We start from the raw sequence: 16,772 nt of genomic DNA, 5'->3' as shown, positions 1-16,772 counted from the left end.
TGTTGTAGCACATACCAGTATACCATTATTTTTTATGGATGAATAATATTTTATTGTATGGATAAGTCATATTTTGTTTAACAATACATCAACTGATGGACATTTGATTTGTTTGCTTTTTTGCTTATTATGAATAATGTTGCTATGAATATTTGTGGACATGTTTGTTGGGATATGTTTTCAATTCTCTTGTGTAGAAAGTAGGAATAAAATTCCTAGGTCATATGGTCAAACTTTTTTTTTATTTCTGAAGATACTGCCAAACTATTTTCTAAAACGTCTGCCTCATTTTACATTTCTACCGCTAATATAAAATGCTTTCCATTTCTCCACATCCTTGTCAACTCTTGTTAGTGTCCATACATTTAATTATGAACATCTTAGTGGATGTGAAATAGTAACTTATTATAATACTGATTTACATTTCCCTGATGCTAATGATATTGGCCATCTTTCTATGTTCTTATTAGCCATTTGTATATCTTTGAAGATATGTTCTTTGCCCATATTTTAATTGGTTAATTGTCTTTTTATTGTTAAGTTAAAAAAGTGTTTTATATAATACGGATTCAAGTCTCTTATCAAATACTTGACAGCAAATATTGTCTCTCATTTTTAGATTATATTTTCACTTCATTTATAGTTTATTTTGATATACAATCATTTTTAATTTTGATGAAGTTTAATGTATTTCAGTTTTTATTCACTGCTTGTGTTTTAATTGCCATATGTAAAAAACTGTTGCCAAATTCAAGGTCACAAAGACTTAAATCTCTATTTTCTTCTAACAATTTTATAGTTTCAGCTGTTACAGTTAGATTTTTGCTCTATTTTGAATTAGTTTTTGTATATAGTATGAGATAGAGGTCCTACTTCATTCTTTTGTATATAGTATGAGATAGAGGTCCTATTTCATTCTTTTGCATGTAGTTATCCAGCTGTCCCAACATCATTTGTGGAAATGTTATTTTTTTCCTTCGTTAGATTGTTGGCATCCTTGTAGAAAAACACTTAATCATTGTCTTAGTCTATTTGTACTACTATAAACAGTATTTATAAAGAACAGAGATTAATTAGTTAATTAATATTCTCACAATCCTGAAGGCTAGGAAGTCCAGTATCAAGGTGCTGGCAGGTTTGTTTTTCTGGTAAAGGCTGCCCTCTGCTTCCAAGATGGCTTCTTGTTGCTGCATCCCCAGACAGAAGTAACACTGTGTCTTAACATGGCAGAAGATGGAAGGACAAGTGAGCTGACTGTTGCGTGAAGCCTCTTTTATAAGGGCCTTAATCCCATTCACAAAGAGCAGATCCCTCAAGACCAAATTACCTCTTACAAACCGCACCTCTTACTATCACCACATTGGCCATTAAGTTTTAACACCTTAATTTTGGAAGGGACACACTCAAACTATAGTAACCATAAATGTGTTTATTTGTAAACTTTTAATTCTAACCCATTAATCTATATGTCTGTTTTTATTCCATTACCACACTGTCTTGATCACTATAGATTTATAGTAAGTTTTGGAATCAGGATATGTGCATCCTCCAACTTTGTTCTTCTTTTCTCAACATTTGGCCATTTTGTGTGCCTTTAATTTTTATATAAGTTTTAGAATCAGCTTATTACTCTTGCAGAAACAAGCAGCTACAATTTTGATAGTGGCTTAGCTAAATCTTAAGCCCAGTTTGAGGAGTATTAGAACTTCAAAATTAAGTTTCATATACCATAAACACAAAATGTCTTTCCATTTGTATGAATCTTCTTTAATTTCTTTCAAGAATGTTTTTTAGTATTCACTGTATAATTCTTGCACTTACATGTTAAATTTATTTCTCTGCATTATATTCTTTATACATTGAATTTATTTACTTCATTTTCTATTTATTCATTGTAAGTGAATAGAAATACAATTAATTTTTGTATATTGATACTGTACCTGCAAACCTACAAAACTCATGTTTTAGTTCTAGTAATTTTTCAGGGAATTCCTTGGGATTTTCTATATTCAAGTTCATGGTAGCTGTAAATAGAGATAGTTTTTATTTTTTTCTTCCCTAATTGTCTCTACTACAATGTGAATAGAAGTGTCAAGAGTAGATTTCCTTGTCTTGTTTCTGATCTTAGAGAGAAAGCATCTAATGTTTCACTATTAAGTATAATGTTAGCTTTGATGGTTTTCATAGATGCCCTACGTCAAATTGAGGAAGTGTGTTTCTGCTCCTTAGTTTTGTGAATGTTTTTGTCATTAAGAGTGTTGGTTTTCTTAAATATTTTCTGTGTGTCTCTAGGGATAATCATGCAGATTTTGTCTTTTTTTCTTAATATGGTATGTTACATTAAACAAGTTTTCTATTCTGAAACAGCTTTGCATATCTGTGATAAGTCCCACTTGGTCATGGTATAAAATCCTTTTTATATGCTGCTGGATCAAGTTTACTAGTATTTTGTTGAATGCTTTTGTGTCTATATTTGGAAAGGATATTGGTCTGTAGCTTTCTGTGATATTTTAGTCTAGCTTGGTATCAGGGTAGTACAGGCTTATGTAAGTTGGGAACTCTTTCCTTTTCTTGGACTTTTTGGAAGAGTTTTGTGAAGGGTTGTTTCATTAAACGTTTGGTCAAAATAACCAATGAAGGCACTTTGGCCTAAGCTTTTATTTGTGGCCTAAGTTTTTGATTACTGGTCCAATCTCTCCATTTGCAACAGGGCTTTCTCATTTTCTGTTTATTCTTGTGACAATTTCTTATGTCTCTCAGGAATTGATTCATTGCATCTAGGCTATTTAAATTGTTGGCATACAATTGCTCATCATATTCTCTTTTTTTGGTCCATCTAGCTAAAAGTTTGTCAGTTTTGTTGATCTTTTCAAAGAACAAGGTTTTGGTTTAATTGATTTTTATATTGTTTTCTATAGTTTGTTTAATTTATGTTTAATCACATCTTGACCACTTTTTCCAGTTCTTCTCATTGTTTTTATTGAGGTACAGATTTTTAGAGGGCCTTACTCTGTCATTTACACTATTCCACAGTTCCATACTTTTGAGATGATAAAATTATATTCACCCTTCCTGGCCACATTTAGTTATCAGCTACCCAGATATGAAGGTAATTTGTCTCTGAAATCTGTCTTCTGTTTATCAGTTTCAGCTGATTATAGTATGTGGGTAGACATCACTAAGATTACTAAGATTTTCTATGTGTATCCCCTCCCAAAAAGGTAAACTTATTAAAAAACTACCTTCCTAGATCAAGGAGAACTCATCTTTAGTCCAAAACAATTATCTGATAAATTAATTCTAAACCTAACTAGAAAATTATTTCCTTTGTCTACAATGATTTAGAGAATCAAAGCAATTTTTGGAGTCAGATAGAACTGCTTTACTATCTGAGACCTTCTATTTATTACATGTGTAAAATTGTTGAATATATATGGGAATTACTACATTGATTATCAAATGAATGAGTGAATATAGACATACAAATATAAACATATTTAGTAAGGCACTATGATTTGTTAAACACGTTAACATGAATTATCTTATTTATTCATCATTTCTATGCAGCCCCATATTTATATGATATTTGAGTAAGAGTAACTAAGATTTTCTGTGCCTTTATCCATAGAGGGAGTTTTCAAATGCATTATCTCATGTTCCCTGTGTAAAATACTGCAAAGTCATTAAAATTATCAACCTGTCTAGAGAAGTTCTAATGTTATAACTTAAATCTATGCCTGGGATCCAGGTTCTGAATACAATTCTAAACATTTATTCACTAATCTGACTTGACTAATTTATTGAACATTTGATACATTTTTTGATTAATGAAAACATCAAGTCATGTCTGAATTTTTTGCCTATTTAACCCACTTAGAGATTTTGAAAATACGTTTAAAGCTTAAATATGTCTGAAACACTTGAGATGAAGATATATTTCTTTTTCAGGTTTCAGGAAAATAAATGTGAATTAATGCTTGGAGAGTGTTTGCTTTGCCCTATTCACGATATATAGATGTGGAGAAAAATTCAGTTGTAACCTCTTTTTGCTTCAGTATGCATCAGTAAATCTCCTGATAGCACAACATTTTCTGTGTACTGGATTATAATGATGTACACATCATTAAAGACTAATACAGGGAATCAATTAACTTAGACCCCAAACCAGCACAAGGAATTGGCAGTCCTAGTGGAAAGAACCACTGAGCTTAGATGTATCTCTAATACCACTTCCTAGCTGAAAAGTTATAGTATTTTCCTCTGCAGTGGTTCTTCTTGATACAAGGGCTAGTGTGTTCTGCATATGATTTGGGTTGCTCTCAAAAACATGTTTGCTGTCTTAATAAGTTCTCAAGAGACAGCAAAGAAAGTAGGGTTTCTCATTTACAGAGCTCACAGTGATTTAAAGCATTCATTATAAGGCTACCTCATATGAATTCATGTTTCATATAAAGCTGCTTTGGTCTGAAATTGCACACAATATTCAAAGCCTATGCCAAAAGTCTTACATCATAAAGAAAGATAAATAAATCGAGAATGTGCATAGCAAGTGAACCATGATGTAGGGCCCCTGGTTTAACAGAGGTCATTTACAATGCATTAATATTTGGAGATAACTTTTTAAAAGGTTGTGACATAGACTTTCTTATTTGCATAAAATTGGATGCAACATTCAATTGGTTAGTTGGAGTAAATGTTCAAAGTGGCAATCCTCAAAAAACATGGCTCAAACTATAATTGTAAATAGACTACATGGAATGATGTTGAAATAAATGTGAAATGCATTATATTATTTTACCTACAAGCTGATTATGATACAAAGAGAATAAACAAGTAATATTAGGTGATCCTTAATGGAAAAAAATCAAAATGATCTATAGTTGTTTTGTTGAGGGCATAAGGACTCTTATATCTCCACCAAATAAATTTTGTCCCTATAGCTCAATCTCTGATATCTCCTATATGTGTGTACTAGTAGACTTCTAGTTTACACATTATGTAGACAGAAAAGAGGATTTATCTGAAGAGTCTTAATTAAGGAATGTTTTAACTGGTCCCACTGGATGTTACCTAAGATCTTACTTTTGCAAAAACATAGATATGCCTATATATACATATATATGCATGTGTGGGTACCCTCAATTTACATATATATGTATACACACACACACATGTATATACACATAAAATGTATACATACATAAATGTGTGTATGCACGTGTGTGTGTGTATATATATGTAAATGGAGGGTGCCCACACATGCGTGTGTGTGTATGTCATTTTTATTTATTTCATTCAGTTGGATTAAAAATAATTCTATGCTATTTTGGTTGTTTTGCTACTATGATTAATTCAATAAGTTAAAGATATTGTGAGTGATTTAATTTTTCATCCTCTGAAACCTTTAATTCATTTTTACTTCAATTCTCCGCCACCTCATTTATTTTTTATTTAAAAATTGAATCTATTGTTATATAGCATAGCAGACATTTAACATTTTTATCTGTCTACAATCTACTTACTTTTGCTTAATAAGACTGTATTAGAACCTTACTTTCTTGCTTCTAGGCAATGTCGGCTTTCAAGCTATGAGACACTGTATATATATATATATATATATATATATATATATACACACACTGTATATATACACTATATATGCATACATACATATATATGCATACATGCATATATAGTACATATAGATGCATACATGCATATATAGTACATATAGATGCATACATGCATATATAGTACATATATATGTATGTACTATATATGCATACATATGTACATACATATATAGTGTATATACACTATATATACATATATATAACTAATACACTATACAATATATATACATATATATATAACTAATTTACCAGATGAGACCAAAGGCTTCTAGCTTTGACTGGGACCCAGAGTAAGAGGAAACTCTGCAGTAGCCTTGGATTCAATGAAATTATGTTCCTCTACTCATACGATCCAAGATATAAAGTGCTGCCCTAAATGACCCTATCAGATCAAAGGTCTAACCTGAGCTTGTATTAAGCACTAATACAATAATCATAGTAGAAGCCTCAAATTTGCATCATCTTTGCCTACTGAGGCATCTGCTTTATGAGAAGTAGATCTTGGCTTTTTGCCATGCCCTGGCAGATACTGAACATCCAACCATGGCACACTGAATGATCACACAGCCTAAACTGCCAATTGTGAACTGGATATTGTCTAATTCACTACTTCCCAATCCGGATACATCCAGTACCAATATATCATCGAATAGCAGTAAAATATACGGAATTGTGCATGAGCAACATATGTTGAACTGACAAATCTCATGCACAGATCACTTTATCTTCTTGTGAGACTAATTCATGTTACAAAGCTCATCATCCCTCACACCACATCTATAGCCTCATATGGCTTCTCCATGATGAGTTAACTGAAAAAAATAACATCCCAGCCTGGCTTTTGGTTGTAGCTTTATGAAACAAAAGGACCCATCAGAATCAGTCTGCTGCCACATTGCTTTCCATTCTTAGAGAAATCCTCCTATGCTTGCGAAACTTCAAATGCCATCTCTTGATTTCCGTTCTCCTAGAGGAAATATTGAATATAAAAAAATACAAACTATTTTAAAAACCAGAGATTGATTTTTCTGTCCCACTTTTATTATAAAAAGTACAATGACAGGCCCACAATGAAATTATAACTTTTCTTATAGTCGTTTCCTTTTCATGCTTGTTATGCTTCTGCCAGCACTATCATTTTTTAAATAACCAAATACTTCAAACACTGTCGAGATAGCTCACAACATATTGCTTCTGACCAAGAGCTAACTTGACAGTTAAAAGAAAAGGAGAATAAACCAATGCCCAAAGGATTAACTGGCAATGCCGTTGGGCACATTATTGAGAAGTAGCTGGCTTTAATGCATGTTAGTATACCTTATTATAATTCAGTTATAATAATACCATCTTGGAGAGAATGTCTGTGAGGTGGGTTGGAATGCTATCTTGCAGGATCCAATGTGTGTGTATACATTGCTGTGTGTGTTTGCCTGTGTATGTATGTGTGCATGCACCCATGTGAATCCGTTTCTCCCACAGCTACAGTATTTAGTTTTCAGAATCATTTAGAAGGTAGATATGAAAATATCATTTTGTATTGTTTTTCTTAATGACCTAATCACAAAACGTTTGCTTCTCAGCTCTACTGGTTGTAATGTATAAAAATCCTACAAGGAAATGCTTCCACTGGGGAATATGAAAATACTTCGATTTAGTTGAACTCTAGGCGAGACCTCCCACCTGGCCATTTTGAGATTTCATTTCCTAGTAAAAAGAAGTAATCAGAAGGTTAATACACAAAAATCATAGCAAAAAATCAAATGGAGGATAATCCCGTTTAAAATAGCATAAATCCTAAAATTATTTATAAATAATAGGACTTAGAGATAAAAAAACTATAAAATTTTACTAAAAAACAGAAAACCTTAATAAGTGAAAAGAGGCAATATTGTATGTAATGACACCACGTCAAAGCTATAAATATGTTTAATACTCATGTGTTTCTTTGTATTTTCTCCCAGTTATAAATTTTCTTTCAATTTCTACAAAATCCCAAGTTTTGGAATTTTAAATTTTTTATGAAGGAATAGATTTCCAAAAATAAATAGGAATTTATGAATTTGAGGACTAGTGAAACTCAATTTAACTGCTAATACTTTATATTCTAAAGCTACTGTGATCAAAACATGTATTAACTTTGATAAACAAATAGAACAGTTGAGTTCAAAATAGATCTGTGTGTTTACGGAAATCTAGTACATGAATGAATTGTTCAGGAAGAAATCGAAAACTTGAATAGAAAAATTAAGGCAGAGAAGACTGGAAAGGTATGTTGGAATATTGGCTGCCCTTCTTCTTTCTGCTATTTTCTGTTTCCCCTGAAATTCCTATTGTTTACAAATGCCTTCTCAATTTTCAATCTATATGTCTCCAAATCTCTTAAATTTTTTTTCATGATTTTTTTTACCTTACACTTTCTTTTATTGTTTATTCTTTTTAAAATGGAATTCAGTTGCACAGAATTAGAATACTCATAATGCTGAGTTTTTACAGTTCTCACTATGCAATTATAATCTATCCATGATTCTGGATATTAGCCCTTTGTCAGATGAGTAGGTTGAGAAAATTTTCTCCCATTTTGTAGGTTGCCTGTTCACTCTGATGGTAGTTTCTTTTGCTGTGCAGAAGCTCTTTAGTTTAATTAGATCCCATTTGTCAATTTTGGCTTTTGTTGCCATTGCTTTTGGTGTTTTAGACACGAAGTCTTTGCCCGTGCCTATGTCCTGAATGGTAATGCCTAGGTTTTCTTCTAGGGTTTTTATGGTTTTAGGTCCAACGTTTAAGTCTTTAATCCATCTTGAATTAATTTTTGTATAAGGTGTAAGGAAGGGATCCAGTTTCAGCTTTCTACATATGGCTAGCCAGTTTTCCCAGCACCATTTATTAAATAGGGAATCCTTTCCCCATTGCTTGTTTTTCTCAGGTTTTTCAAAGATCAGATAGTTGTAGATATGCAGCGTTATTTCTGAGGGCTCTGTTCTGTTCCATTGATCTATATCTCTGTTTTGGTACCAGTACCATGCTGTTTTGGTTACTGTAGCCTTGTAGTACAGTTTGAAGTCAGGTAGCATGATGCCTCCAGCTTTGTTCTTTTGGCTTAGGATTGACTTGGTGATGCGGGCTCCTTTTTGGTTCCATATGAACTTCAAAGTAGTTTTTTCCAATTCCGTGATGAAAGTCATTGGTAGCTTGATGGGGATGGCATTGAATCTATAAATAACCTTGGACAGTATGGCCATTTTCACGATACTGATTCTTCCTACCCATGAGCATGGAATGTTCTTCCATTTCTTTGTATCTTATTTTATTTCATTGAGCAGTGGTTTGTAGTTCTTCTTGAAGAGGTCCTTCACGTCCCTTGTAAGTTGGATTCCTAGGTATTTTATTCTCTTTGAAGCAATTGTGAATGGGAGTTCACTCATGATTTGGCTCTCTGTTTGTCTGTTATTGGTGTATAAGAATGCTTGTGATTTTTGTACATTGATTTTGTATCCTGAGACTTTGCTGAAGTTGCTTATCAGCTTAAGGAAATTTTGGGCTGAGATAATGGGGTTTTCTAGATATACAATCAAATTTACAAGAAAAAAACCAAACAACTCCATCAAAAAGTGGGCAAAGGACATGAACAGACACTTCTCAAAAGAAGACATTTATGCAGCCAAAAAACACATGAAAACATGCTCACCATCACTGGCCATCAGAGAAATGCAAATCAAAACCACAATGAGATACCATCTCACACCAGTTAGAATGGCAATCATTAAAAAGTCAGGAAACAACAGGTGCTGGAGAGGATGTGGAGAAATAGGAACACTTTTACACTGTTGGTGGGACTGTAAACTAGTTCAACCATTGTGGAAGTCAGTGTGGCGATTCCTCAGGGATCTAGAACTAGAAATAGCATTTGACCCAGCCATCCCATTACTGGGTATATACCCAAAGGACTATAAATCATGCTACTATAAAGACACATGCACACGTATGTTTATTGCGGCACTATTCACAACAGGAAAGACTTGGAACCAACCCAAATGTCCAACAATGATAGACTGGATTAAGAAAATGTGGCACATAGACACCATGGAATACTATGAAGCCATAAAAAATGATGAGTTCATGTCCTTTGTAGGGACATGGATGAAATTGGAAATCATCATTCTCAGTAAACTATCACAAGGACAAAAAACCAAATACCGCATGTTCTCACTCATAGGTGGGGATTGAACAATGAGAACACATGGACACAGGAAGGGGAACATCACACTCTGGGGCCTGTTGTGGGGTGGGGGTAGGGGGAAGGGATAGCATTAGGAGATATACCTAATGCTAAGTGACGAGTTAATGGGTGCAGCACACCAGCATGGCACATGTATACATATGTAACTAACCTGCACATTGTGCATATGTACCCTAAAACTTAAAGTATAATAATAATAAAATAAAATAAAATAATAATCTATCCATGAAAGGATGAATTTATTTATTTATGTATGGATTTATTCTTTGATTTATCAAGAAATAAATTCCTTAATTTATTAAGGAATAAATTGCAAAAATACCACTTTTTTCCATTACATCTTCCTGCATATTTTTATTCATATCATTAGAATATTGCTTTACTATACATAAATACATGTACATATATTATATGTATATATATACCTGCTTAGACACAATACTGTTATTTTACTTGATTTTAAACTCAATAGTATCATATTGCATATTACTAAGATTTATCCATGATGTTGTATTTGGTCCTTTAGATCAATTAAAAATGTTTTAAAAACTTTATTTTACCTTTATTTATTTCATTTCTAGTGTTCTTCATTTCTTTGTTTCAATCCAGGTTTCTTTACGTGTCGTATTACTTCTCTCTGAAAAAAAAAATTGTTTCTTATAGTTTATTTTGCTATTAATTAATTCTTTTGTTTATATTAAAGGTCATTATTTTTCCTTAATTGCTTAAATTAATAAACCCTATTTTTAGAGCAATTTTAAGTTCATAGTGATTGAGCAGGAAGTACAGAGAGTTCCCATTATCAACATTCTGCACCAGAGTAGTATATTTGTTATAATCAATTAAACTACATTATCACTCAAAGACCATTGTGTATATTAGGGTTCATTGTTGGTGGTGCATATTTTATGAGGTTTACAAATGTACAATGGCATATATGTACCATTATGGTATTATACAGAACAGTTTCACCACCCTTAACTCTGCTGTGCTCTGTGTATCCATTCTTCCTTTCTCCTAAACATTGGAAATCACTGATTTTTTTTTTTACTGTCTATAATTTTAACTCTTCCCGAACGTCATATAGTTGGAATTATATAGTATGTAGCTGTTTCAGATTAACTTTCACTTAGCCATATGCACTCAAGTTTCTTCCATGTATTTTAATGTCTTATAATGTCCATATAATGTCATGCTTATATTTTTAGTATGAAATAATATTCCATTGTCTGGATGCACTACAGTTTATTTATTCATTTACCTACTGAAATACATCTTGATTGTTTCCAGGTTTGGCAATTAAAGCTGCTATAAACATCCATGCACAAACTTTTGTTTGGACATAAATTTTCAACTCCTTTGGGTAAAGTATTATTGCTGGATCACACGGTAAAAGCATATTTAATAAGAAATTGTCAAACTACCTTGTAAAGTAGCTGTACCATTTTGCATCCACCTGCATTGAATGAGAGTTCCCGATACTCTACATTCTAATAAGCATTTGGTGTTTGTCAGTGTTTTGAATTTTTGCTATTATTTTTAATGGCAAAACCACAATTACTTTTTCACCAACTAATAGTAGATATGTAATGGTATTTCATTGTTTTAATTTGCAGTGGTATATGATGTTGAACATCACTTCATATGTTAACATGCTATTTTGTGTTGAGTCCCCAGTTATTATGTAAATAGAGTCTATCTCTTTCACTCTAATAATTCTTGCTTTATACCTCTGGGTGCTCTGGTTTTCGGTGTATATATTATTTACAATTGTCATGTCCCCTTGCTCCATCGATTCCTTTTTAACTATGTAATGACCTTTTTGTTTCTTTTCATGGTTTTGTCTTAAAGCCTATTTTGTCTGATGTAAGTATAGCTACTTTTTCACATTTTTGGCTTCTGCTTGCACAGAATATATTCTTCTGTCCCTCACTTTTAGTCTATATATGACTTTACAGGTGAAGTGAGTTTCTTGTAGGCAAATTATAGATAGGTCTTTTTTTTAATTGTTCAGCAGATCAGTTTTTTGAATTTAGACCATTTACATTCAAGCTTGGTATTGGTAAGTGAAGACTTATTCCTATCCCTCTGTTTCTTGTCTTCTGGTTGTTTTGTATATGCTTTGTCTATTTCTTCCTTCCTTATTCCTTATGTGATGGCTTTCCGTAGTGATAATGTTTGATTCCTTTATCTTTCTCCTTTGTGTATCTTCTCTTCCAGTGAGCTCTTTATTTTTGTGGCTCAGACTGTGTGGTTTTTTATGGACACTGTGGTGAGACTTTGTGGGAGATGAGGAGGGGGACACTGAGTAGGCTGGTCCTCAGTCATCTAAGTGGCATGTGCAGACACTGGCAGTGGCAGTGGTGTGTGCCTCAGGTGGGCCACTCTTTGGGCCCTATGCAGGGTGTGTGGGCACTGGTGATGGCAACAGTAGGCTGGGTGGGCCAGATTCTGAATCTCTGGGTGGCATGCACAGGCACCAGTAGGCTGGAAAGTCTGCTTCCAGGGTTTCTACATGAGGTGAATGGACACCAGCAGTAACCATGTCGGGGTAAGCAGGCCAGTCCCTGGGCCCTGAGTGGGTTGCAAGGGCTAGCTAACCTCTGGCCCCTGGCCTTGCTGCTGGAAGGGAGTGGGGTCACTGTCTGTGGAAGTGGCCCTGGGAAGACTGCTTTCTGGCTCTAAGGAGTGCATACTTCAGTTCTCTATGTCCTGAGGGCAGACTTCCTGATGCGCTGGACTGCCTGTTCCCCAGGGTTGTAGGGTGTTGTGCAAGCAGTTTGGGTTCCAGTGATGTGACTGCCCCTGGCTCCAGTCAGCACAATAATGCTGCAGCCCTCTGGGTGGATGTGAGGGGATGTTAGCAGGGCCCCAGACATGTGGAGATACAGGAGATATTGGGCCCTAGGTCAAGATGTAGTCCAGTGTTGTCTCTGCTCTCAAAATGGTGTCATGCTTGAGCAGCTTGGGTACAGCATGAATTCCCTCTCTAGAACAATGCAGCCTGAGTCCCTCACCATATTCACCTGCCCAATCTTCAACCTTTCTGCCACCAGAATCGTGAGCCAAATAAACCTCTTTTCTTTATAAACTTTCTAATCTCAGGTCAGGTATTCTGTTATGAGCAACACTAAACAAACTAAAACATTGTGGTAAGCTAGGATGCTGTCTCAAAATTTTAGATAGAGGAATCCACAATTTGTTCTCTTCAATATTAACTTTCTCATAAATGAGCATGTCCTATATTTGAATGTGGACAAAAACTGAATATCTTTTCAGTAGAAGAAATATTATGTTTTTTAGTGAAACAGATACTAAAATTTAGTCTTTGGGAGACAGTTTTTTAATTATAAAATTTAAATTGTTTTTAAACATTAAAACTACCTAAAAATCACCAAATAAAGTGAATACAACTTTATTTGCTAAAATGAACTTAAGCCCCATAGGACTTGGCTTACATTTTTAAACTTCTGCATCCAAAAGAAAATGTCAAGCTAAGTTCTGACTCAAAACTTTATGCCCCAAATTAGGCCTCTAATCAAATATCTTGTTTATAATATTCCTGTATCTAATTTATCTCCCCATAAACAATCAAGAATTAGAAACGTCAGCCTTACTAGAAAGCATATTTTCTAAACAAAGTTTTATCAATGTTGCAACTCATAGTGCTGAGCATTTTAAATGAAGTTATCAATGTGATGCTGAATATTATTTTGAGATTCTGAAAGTTCAGAAGTATACTATTAAATAATGTTTTAGATTCAGTTTCATTTATTATCTCTTTGAGATTGTTCAATATATTCTCCAAGTTCATCTTTATTCATTACCTTAGAGATAGTCATATTTACGGACTATATTTTTAACAAATATATTTATGAAAAATTGGAATTCCTCTGTATTTGGAGATTATAATCAATGTATAAGAGGCAGTGAAGGGAGTTATTTAAAGATAAACACATTTCTATTGGATTTATTTCTACATGTGTTTGCTAAGTAACTAGACAGAATTGATATTAAGGAGATTTATTCAAATGTACTTTATGAGATATTGGTTTAAACTTGGGTCTCAGATATAAAAAGTGCTGAAGTTTGAAGAATAAAATTATTGTTTACATTTCAATGCTTAGAAGAATTATCTGGGTAAAGCAAGTTGACTCTTCCCCAGGAAGCCTCACAAGATGGAATTATGCTGGTAAATTTACCATTGTTTGACATTTTTCCATTAGTCTTACTGTCTCATAAACTCTAATGTGTCCCATATTAAGAGTTTTCTAATAAGACATACTAAACTAATTTATGATACAAGAATATACTTTTGTTTTAGTTTACTCTAAGAAAAAGGACTGGTGTTTAGCCATCTAGCTAGCACTTTAAGCAAGATACTCAAAGATCACTCTATCTTCAGGAAAAAAAGCTTTTTAAATATAATGATAAATAAACTTGCTTATTTTATTGGGCAGTACTAGTGCTATGAGCAGTGTTATCTCTCTCCAGAGAAATGGCATATGGGAAAGCTATTATTAGAAAGTTGTTCATTGTTAATGGAATCAGATCAAAGTGGGACCTAATGGCTCTTGTTTTACTTACAAGGTAAAGAAAAGGAATTCCTTCAACTCTACTAAAATATATCTTTCAGATATAATCTTTCTTGATTTTTCTATAAAATTTAAGAGTGTTGACTCTAACTTTCTTCTTGAGAGTTCTTTTTACTTACTTGATTCCATGTTTACTTAGATTTCTCCCTTCTCATTGAATACCTATCCATTTATTTTGTGGATTCTTTCCCTGCTCTTTTTTTGGAGACTTTGAATTCCCTGTGGTTATTTCTCACTCTGTGACTCTATGACAATCAGTGATTACATTCACCATGGCTTTCATTGTTATCTATATAATGGTAACTCCCAGCTTTCTCTCTTGAGTTTGAGGTATCTATATCTATATCCAATGAAATACTAGGCATTCTCTTGGTTGTCTTACAAATATACCAACCTCCTTTGTTTACTGTCTTAGTTGTGACACTAATATTCTCTCTTTTTATTCTTTTTTTTTTTTTGAATGTCTGAGTTTGAACCTTAAGAGTCAATCTTGACGCTGATCTTGGATTACTTTAACCAAGTCTCTCTCTGAGAGGTCTCCCCTGACACTCTCAGATACCTATTTCTGTTACTGGAAATCTGTTGCCTCTAGAATTTCCTTTTATAGCACGTCATGCATCTCCAGAGAGAAGTTAAGTGCTTATAGAGCACGAACCATGTCTCAGTTCGTGGCATATAACAGATATTTAAAGTATTTGTTGAATAAATGTCCATATAAATACATTTTTGTTTTATTTTTTAGTTTTACCAATGCTTAATTCCCCTTGGATTTTTCTGAATATGAGATTTTCTAGTGTTTCTCTCCTATGCTTCCAGGAGGAAACACTCTTACTAGGCTTGACATATTCTTTCTCTAGATGTGTCAGCACATTCGCTTAAATTGTAATGTGATCTAGTCTAGTAGAAACAGACTTAATTTGTACTTTTCAGAGATCTGCACATTCCTCTTCTTAATCCTCCTTTGTTGATTCTCTTTCTCATACAGCAATCTTATCTTATTGAAAAATTTATTGTAGAAGTGGGAACCTACCTACCTAGGATAATATCACAAAAGTGATATATTGCTTTGTGATTTAGCTTTCTATTGTAATTTGCTTTTCTAGTTTTTACAACTCTTCATATAAGAGACTAATGACACTGTAGAAATCTTACAGTGCAACCACCTATTTTCACACTATCTAAGGGGCTGCAGAAGATTGCAAAACTGAATGATAGAGCAAAGATTAAAACCCAGAACTCCTAGAACAAACAGGGTTTCATTTATGAGACACTGCTTCTCCCTCAATAATTTACAATACTAGCACAATAACATTTATTTAACACTTATGAGCTTGCTAAGGATGGCAGTGTACATTATTTTCTTTAATTCTTACAAATTTTCTGTGAAATATGTCTACTATAAGATGAGAAAAGTAACCAAATTGGAAAAGTTATTGTATTCTATGTTGTTTTTATTTCTGTCTCTCATAGTCCATTTCGAGTTATTATTTTATCAAGGCTAAGGCAATTGTGTAAATATTTAGTCCTTTATTCTCATCTGAAAATAATTTTGTTCATAAATTTAAAAAGAACTCTTTCCAGGAAGTGGAAAGTCTTGAAGCAGAAGCAATAACTATCTTTCAAGTGGGCTATGGGAGAATTATGTCCAGAAATGTTTGTAAAAGTATGAGGCAAGAATACACTTTATACATGCTGTAGAAGCAAGATAAGCCACAACATGAAGAAGGTTGAAAATCGCCTTTTGTTACACCCAATCCTGATCTATGTTTGGCTATCTACAGTTGTGAGTCCATAATTTTATGGGGGAATATAGTGTTATGTTAGGCAATCTGTTTAGATGAATAAGTTAAAGACAACTATTAATACTGTATTCACACAATAATTACAGTTCTGGAGAAAAATTGAGGTCCCAAATCTCCCCCAGTCATTTCCTTGGTACAGCCACTGATTAATTTATTCAGTGGCATGACACACAAATGTGACTTTTAACTTCAGGAAAAATCTCAACATAATAACCTAGTCTTGTTCACCTTTCATCCGTTGACCACATACATGGAGGTTATTTCTCTACAAACAAATCTGACCATGTAACTTCCATAATGGAAGCCCAAAATTCACAGTATGGCATTAAAGTGCCCTCACTATATGATTCTAACATATGCTGCCCATGACTTACTTCTACTCTCTACTCATACTTTTGACATTTCAAGTATTCGTTTCTTTCAATAAAATTTTAATCATCCTTGTTTCTATGTATGCTATTCAACTTCTTAGTCTCACTCAATCATTATCTACTGAGAGTATTTC

The 16,772-nt window shown here is 33.4% G+C and overlaps 1 long non-coding RNA gene across 1 annotated transcript in view; it reads right to left on the bottom strand.

Annotated features, from left to right (window-relative positions):
• LOC105375630 (uncharacterized) overlaps positions 1–16,772 on the bottom strand; it is a 559,756-nt gene that overhangs the window by 51,429 nt on the left and 491,555 nt on the right. The window contains exon 4 of the long non-coding RNA XR_001745653.3: positions 10,431–10,507. This is a non-coding gene — a long non-coding RNA (uncharacterized LOC105375630). The remainder of the gene's footprint in view (positions 1–10,430; positions 10,508–16,772) is intronic.

This window comes from Homo sapiens, chromosome 8, assembly GCF_000001405.40.
Source record: "Homo sapiens chromosome 8, GRCh38.p14 Primary Assembly".
Taxonomy (NCBI): domain Eukaryota; kingdom Metazoa; phylum Chordata; class Mammalia; order Primates; family Hominidae; genus Homo; species Homo sapiens.
This window is presented reverse-complemented; position numbering and strand designations above follow the sequence as displayed.